The 7,414-nt window shown below is 52.8% G+C and overlaps 2 annotated features.

Annotated features, from left to right (window-relative positions):
- Positions 710–1,258: an enhancer, noted in NCBI's record as "H3K4me1 hESC enhancer chr2:95660342-95660890 (GRCh37/hg19 assembly coordinates)". NCBI's record gives its function as "activates a minimal SCP1, AML or CMV promoter by ChIP-STARR-seq in naive H9 embryonic stem cells {active_cell/tissue: H9 hESC(naive)}" and the evidence as "EXISTENCE:reporter gene assay evidence [ECO:0000049][PMID:30033119]".
- Positions 1,259–1,806: an enhancer, noted in NCBI's record as "H3K4me1 hESC enhancer chr2:95660891-95661438 (GRCh37/hg19 assembly coordinates)". NCBI's record gives its function as "activates a minimal SCP1, AML or CMV promoter by ChIP-STARR-seq in naive H9 embryonic stem cells {active_cell/tissue: H9 hESC(naive)}" and the evidence as "EXISTENCE:reporter gene assay evidence [ECO:0000049][PMID:30033119]".

The raw sequence follows: 7,414 nt of genomic DNA on the forward strand, positions 1-7,414 counted from the left end.
GGTAGGTCAGCAAGGGATGAGGGCCCAATTGGGGTGGAGATGAGCCTGCTTCACGGCCAGGTGCAGATGAGATGGGGACTGTGCGGTAACGGCAGGACACCAGGTTGGCCCCAGGGATGCCCTGGGGGCAGAGTTTCCAGGAGAGGGAGTCATTGGCCAGTGGTTGCTATCTCAGGCCAGGCAGGAGGCTATGAGACAGGGTTACGTGTGGCTTCCTGGGCTTCAGGGCTGAGGGTCCCTGGGGTGGAGCAGGAGCTGGCACTGCCATCTTTAACAGTCACTCTGCCTCCTTCCAGCTCTTCACCACCTTCAACACCATCACCTTCATCACCACGCTGCTCTACATTCTCCAGCCTTCAGCATCTATTACCACTGATGCACAGGCGCCAGGCTGAGGGGAAAACGCTCTTTGAAAGCCGGGATTGTTGGTCCCCAAAAGCAGCTTCCAATGTTTGCTGTCCGGATGATAAACAGAGTCAGGCAGCCACGCCAAAGACTTGAGGCCAGTCTCTCAGCTGTGGGTCAGATTCTGCCCATCTCTCACCCCAGATCCTTTCCTGCCCTCAGGATGAAGCCCAAGCTTTTTGAAAAGTGACCTCCCAGGTCTTACTTGCAGATCTGACCCTGCCCTATGTCCAGCTGCATCTCCTGCTACCCTGCTGCCCAGCCCTGATGGTCCAGCGTCAGCACGGCTGCTATGGCCAGCTCAGCCCTGCTGCTGCATCGGTGCACGCTGTGGACATTATGTCCCCTCTCCCCGGGAACACGGAGGCCTGACCCTCCTCTTTACTACATGAAAAACTCTTCTTACCCGGAAGTTTTTCTCAAACTGCCCCCCACCCTCAGGGGCCTCTGAGCCTGTGCTATATATGCTGTGCTGTGTGTGTGTGCTGTGTGGGCTGTGCTGTGTGTGCTGCGTGTGTGTGTTGTGTGTGCTGTGCTGTGTGTGCTGTGTTGTGCCGTGTGTGCTGTATGTGCTGTGCTGTGTGTGCTGTGTGTGCTGGGTATGCTGGGTGTGCTGGGTGTGCTGTGTGTGCTGTGCTGTGCTGTGTGTGCTGTGCTGTACTTTATGTGCTGTGTGTGCTGTGTGTGCTGTGCTGTGTGTGCTGTGTGTGTGTTGTGCTGTGTGTGCTGTGTTGTGCCATGTGCTGTGCTGTGCTGTGTGTGCTGCGCTGTGCTGTATGTGCTGTGTGTGCTGCGCTGTGTGTGCTGTGCTGTGCTGTGTGTGCTGTGCTGTGTGTGCTGTGTGTGCTATATGTGCTGTGTGTGCTATATGTGCTCTGTGTGCTATATGTGCTGTGTGTGCTGTGTGTGCTACATGTGCTGTGTGTGCTATATGTGCTGTGTGTGCTGTGCTGTGTGTGCTGGGCTGTGCTGTGTGTGCTGTGCTGTGTGTGCTGTGCTGTGCTGCGGTGCCCCACATGCAGTGCTGATCTCACCCACAACACTATGAGAATCCACAGGCAGGGGTTTGGCTCTTGGATGTTTTAGTCATCTTTGCCCTTCACTAAGTCCCATGCCTAGGAACCTCCCCTGACCCCACCAACCTCAGCTCTGAGTGCTTTGCTCACACCATTGACAGAAATGAGGACTTCAAAAGCCACAGGCAGGCTACAGGGATTGATGACAGAGCTGGCTCCTGAGCCCTCCCAGTTCTCACCCACAACCCATGGTCTACCTCCCCTGGGCAAAAGGATGTTTTCTGCCTCCTTCCTTTCCTTCTTGGTCTGTGGCGGATCAGCTTCTTTCACCCTAGAATCCCACCTGCACAAAGAGGAAGAGCCTAGCCCGCCACTGCCAGGACCCAGTCCAGCTTTGGTGGCCCTGTGGGGCCTGGACCCATGCACAGCCAAGGCTGCCCCAGCTGTGGAGAAGGCTGGCCCACTGAGGAAGGGCCCAGCTTGATTCCAGGCCAACCCCGGCTCTGGGCCCAGTACTAGTAGGTGTCGACCTAAAAGGAAGAGGCTGAGGCACAAAAAAATAAAGGGTTGACTTGAGCCAAAGTGAGGACAGCTGCCTGGAAGACTCAGACCCAGGTAACCTTGGAAATGAGCTTCGTTGGGCCATTGTAACAAGCAGTTTTTAAAGACAAAAGGGGTGGGCAAGAAGTGGGATGATACAAATCCGTCAGGAATTCTCATTGGTTTACAGAAATAATATTGATTCATGATTGGCTCTACATTGTTAAGCTATAGGGTGTGGGTTATGGTGTCTGGTGTGGCATTATTAAGTTGATTTATAGCTCCTTGTGGCAATAGCAAGCAGTTTCCAGAGATGAATATATAGTTCAAGGCTGATTGCTCTCTCATTTTACTGTCTCTCTGGGACTGGTAATTTAAATTTTCTTTCTTCATAGGGCTAATAAGAGTGCGTTAAGTGCCCCCCAGAGCCCTGAGCTCCTGTATATCATTGGGAATCTCTTCTAAGGGAACTGCTGAAACAATGCTTACAAAAATGTCGGAGCCTAACTCTGGATTTGGGGTCCAGGAGTGGCAATCCTAGCCTTTGAGTAAGCCCAAGCAGGAGTCTTCGCTCTTCCGCTGGAGAAAGCCGGAGCTGGCGGTAGCAGCGCTGCGTGGGGCGCCTCCTTCCTCTGCCTTTGCTTCTTAAGTGAAGACTGTGACACTGTGACTTATAATAAGAAACAGAACTCCTAAAGCCCTTGGAATCTCCAAAGTGATACATGACTTTTTGTAGCTAATGAGATGACTGGGGCCTGGGGGCTCCTGGAGGGCCTCAGGATGGCGACAGCTGCCAGGGAAACCAACCGTGTGATTAGAAGGTTGGAATGTTTAGCCCGACCGCCCGCCGACCTCCAGCTGGGGAGAGGAGCTGGGGATGGAGTTAATCACCAATGCCCAGTGATTTACTCAATCATGCCTGCAAAATGGAACCTCCATTTAAAAAATGCCAACATAACGAACACTTCCAAAAGGAGGGTGCTGGGAGAGCTTCTGGGTTGGTGAACACGTGGAGGCGCTGGGAAGGCAGTGTGCCCGGAGATGGCAGGCAAGCCCCATGCCCCTTCCCCATACCTTGCCGCATGCATCTCTTCCACTGGCTGTCCTTGAGTTGTATGCTTTATAATAAATAACAGGAACTAAACTGTTTTCCCACGTTCTAAGAGCCATTCTAGCAAATTAATACACACGAGAAAGGGCCTTGGGAACGTACGGCTGATTGGTCAGAAGCACAGGTGCCAACCTGGACTGGCAGCTGGCATCAGAAATGAGGGTGGTCTTGTGGGACCGAGCCCTTAACTTGTGGGATCTGACATTAATTCCGGGTAGACAGTATCAGAATTGAGTTAAATTGCAGGACATTCAATTACTATTCTGAGAACTGGAGAAGTGGCTGGTATCAGGTATCAGAAGGGAGGCATTGAGAGCAGTAGTAGGAAGGAGAATGGTTTACATTGCAGAGACACACAGGGAACTACTCTCTCGGGGCCAGCTCCACGAAGCTACCTGACCCAGGCCACAAATTTGGGGATCAGGGAGGCGAGAAGGAGAACATGGAGGAGACCACTTCTGCTTCTTTTTCTGACCTTGCCAACTCAGGAAAGCTATGTCACTGCTGCAAGAGTCAAATTTTTTTCCGTAAATTGGGATGCATGGAGACTACACTGTATGTCAAGGTGTAGTTACATCATGGTGGGTAATGCCACCTTGCGTAGGGGTTATGTCAAGGGGCACTTAGGCTAAGTGTAATTACAACAAGGTGTAGCAATGCCAAGGTTTGGATATGGCAAGGGATAGTTATGTCAAGGGACCATCGTAGTAAGGCGTAGTTATGTCAAGGTGGGTGCTATGGACTGAATTGTGTCTCCCCAGCCCCAAATTCATATGTTGAAGCCCTAATCCCCAATATAACTGTATTTGGAGATAGGGTTTTTAGCAGATAATTAAAGTTTAGTGAGGTCATAAGGATGGGCCCTCATTCAATAGAGCCAGCCTTTGATCTTGGACTTCCAGCCTCCAAGACTGTGAAGAATAGAAGTATGTTGTTTAAGCCACCCAGTCTCATGTTTTGTTACGGCGGCCCAAGCCGACCAAGATGGTGGGGTCATGCCAAGTTGCCATTAAGAGGTACCTGTGCAAGTGTGCCAAGGTAGGTTTGGGAGCCCAGGAAGAACTGTCATTACTGGATTGGCATCGTCAACCTGGCGGAAACCTGAACGGTGACATTCCTTCAGCCATGAGAGGAAACAACGCCACCACCTTTCCATTAAGGTCATGCAACTATTTCTCGCCGCAGAGCAAGGCTCTTTGGAAGGGAAAGTAACTGGGGCGCCCACTGGAAGCAGGATTGGGTTGAGAGCTAGGTCGGCCACCGAGCGCCCCACTGGGTGGCGCGTGGGCTCCGCGCGCAGGCAGGGAGGGCGGCCCTCGGTGGGGTCGACTGGGCGGAGCCGCCGCCTCCTATCTTCCCTTGAAGGCACCTGCGCAGGGGGACCCGCGGTGCCTGGGAGGGGAGGGGGACTTTCGCATGAAGCCCCTCCTTGTCAGTCCGGTCACCGCGCGCCCGCTCTGAAGCAGAACACCGGCTGGTGCCGGCGGCTTCCAGGGCGGCTGAGGGACCGTGGCCAGGAACATGGGCTCGCAGAGCTACGGGAGAAGGATCGAGACTGTCTGCACATTATTAGAAGCCAGCCTGTTTCCTTCTTCAGCCGCTGCTGTCTGATGTACGCCCAGATCTCTAGAAGCTTCCAGGGGCGCCCTGACTTCGCGGCTCCCACCCTCCTTCTCCAGGGCCCTCTGAGAGGCGTTTACACAGGCGTTTCTCGCACCCGGGGTCCTGTTATTCGGCCCTAGCCACTGATGAAATTCTGCCCCTGGGTCCGAGAAGGGGCTGCTCCAGCGAGCACCTACACCCCCCATCCTGGGCACATGCCGTTCCCTCTGTGCCTCAGTTTACTTCGCTGTGGACTGGTGGGTATGCAAAGATCCCCTCCAAGGACCTCCCAGGCCACTACCACCTCTGAGAGAGGGACAGAGGGAGAGCGGAGGGGAAATTCAAGAAGAGCCCCTGGACCACTTTCGTGCACTGAGAGGGCAGGTCGTGTCATGAGGTCCCCGTCAAACCCAGGGTCCATTTTCTTTTTCTTCTTTTTTTTTTTCTTTGAGACGGAGTCTCGCTTTGTTGCCCAGGCTACAGTGCAGTGGTATGATCTTGTCTCACTGCAACATCCACTTCCTGTGTTCAAGCTGTTCTCCTGCCTCAACCTCCCAAGTAGCTGGAACTACAGGTGCCCAACACCTTGCCCGGCTAATTTTTGTATTTTTTGTAGAGACAGGGTTTCGCCATGTTGCCCAGGCTGGTCTTGAACTCCTGAGCTCACGCCATCTGCCCACCTCGGCCTTCCAAAGTGCTGGGATTACAGATGCCTGCGCCTTCCCCTGGGGTCCCTGCTGAGCCAGGCTCTGCTGGTGTAGATTCATGAGACACAGATGTGGGAGAAGCTGAGATCTTCAGGAAAGGGCACAACCCTGGGAACACATGACTGCTGGGACAGCCATGGTGCTCAGCAAAAGTTCGAAGGCTTAGTTCTATTGCACACATATCTGCTGAGCATCCGCTGGGTGCCTGGCCCTGGACCAGGCCCTCCTGCTCTCAAGAACCTGGAAGGCAGGCGCAGAATGAGGCAGGGCCAGGGGCCTCACTTCTTAAGGTGAGGGGGTCACTGGTCCCAGCTGGAAGTGGAAGGCAGAGACTTACCAGGGGCCTCCTAGAAAGTGGGACCTCCAGAAAGTTACTAGAATGATCACTGGTCAAGCACATGGACCAGAGTCACCCTGGCTGGCGCTCTAGAAGTTGAGGGCAGCCTACAGGGAGAGTCGGCTGGGAAGAGCGTGAAGAGGATCACAGGCACAGCAGCAGCCAGGTGGCAGGTGACTGACCGCAGGGCCTGGGCCGGGTCTGGCTCACTGGCATGGCAGTTCCTATGACTTCCCACAGTGAATGGGGGGCTCCCCATGGGTGGGGGTTTAAGCAGCGAGTGGCAGATCTTTGTGCCTGCACTGGCCACCTGGGAGGGTGGCAACTGCAGGAGGGGACCCAAGTCTCTTTAGGGGCTGTGTCCTTCTCAAGAATCTGTGTACTTTGATTCACCAAGAACTAAAAATTGCCATTTCAGGATTCCACATCATGATGTAAATGGAGATGATTATACTTTTTATTAGGCTCAGTGACTATTTTAATAGCAGTGTTATAGAGCCTCAGAGGATCTAAGCCCTGGCACAGACATTTTTTCCATGGCCATTGGGATGTCTACTTGTCAGTTGATGTGGCAGGTATTACATGACACCCCCATAGGTTCCCAGGGATTGCTGACTTCTGCAAAGGGGTTGGCCCTAGTCAGAACCCTGTAGGTCCAGTGGTCATATCTCTGAGGGCCCAGGGGATTTTCCTTGATGACTTGTGAGCTCTGAGCAGGCTCCAGCTCTGCAGTGTTGGGGGAGGGCTCCAGACATTGGCTTCTGTCATCCCTGCATAGAGCCCACATCTCCAAGAAGGCCAGGAGGTCCTGATCCTGTCTGGGGGTCGATTTAAATGTGAAGGAGCAGAATGAGGAGAATTTAGGAATCTAAGGAGGGAACAAAAGACAGAATCAGTCCCCAGTCTCAAATACTCTTTGACAGAATTGCTGGGACCCTACTCATGCCAGCCTGGGCCCTGGATGCTGGGTGTTTGGATGAATGAGGAATGGTCTCTGGCCTTGAGGTGCTCACAGACACCAGAAAACGACAAACCAGGGGAGCCAGAAAGAGGCAGAGAAAGGTGCTGGCCAGCAGGACTGTGAACCCCATTTTTTACACCTACCACCCATGCCCTTCACATTTAATCATGGCCAGAATTTGTCTCTGCCTTGTGCCTTTAACTGTGGGAAATCCTGGAGTGTTTTAGAAGTCCAGTTTCTCAGAATCTAAATTTTTCTTTTTCAGAGATGATCCACTAAAACTATAACAATATAATTTCATTTTTATGCTTCTTTAAACTTTTTCATGTAAACAACTTACAAATTTTAAAAAAGCCAAATTTAGTTTTGGAAATAACAGCCTGCATAGTTCACATGTATGTGTGCACATACACAGACACACACACAGACACACACAGGCACACACACAGGGTGCTACCCACTGTGGGATCTCAGCCTGTACTCACACATATGGATACATGTGCTTGGGCTCACACCCCAAGCAAAGGCCAGAAGAGCAGCTGTCTCTGTGTGAGAATTGGCTGGAAGCTGCAGGGAACCCCTGGAGATGCTGGGAAGCCCTCCTGCCACTAGCTGTCTCTGTTAGGGTGGTCAAGTAAGGAGCAATGGGGATGGGCGTGTCCCCACACATAGCCTGCTGCTTTCCTACTGCTTCCCACGGGCTCCTTTCAAAGGTGCCTGTGGAAGCACAGCCCA

This window comes from Homo sapiens, chromosome 2 (genome assembly GCF_000001405.40).
Source record: "Homo sapiens chromosome 2, GRCh38.p14 Primary Assembly".
Lineage (NCBI taxonomy): Eukaryota > Metazoa > Chordata > Mammalia > Primates > Hominidae > Homo > Homo sapiens.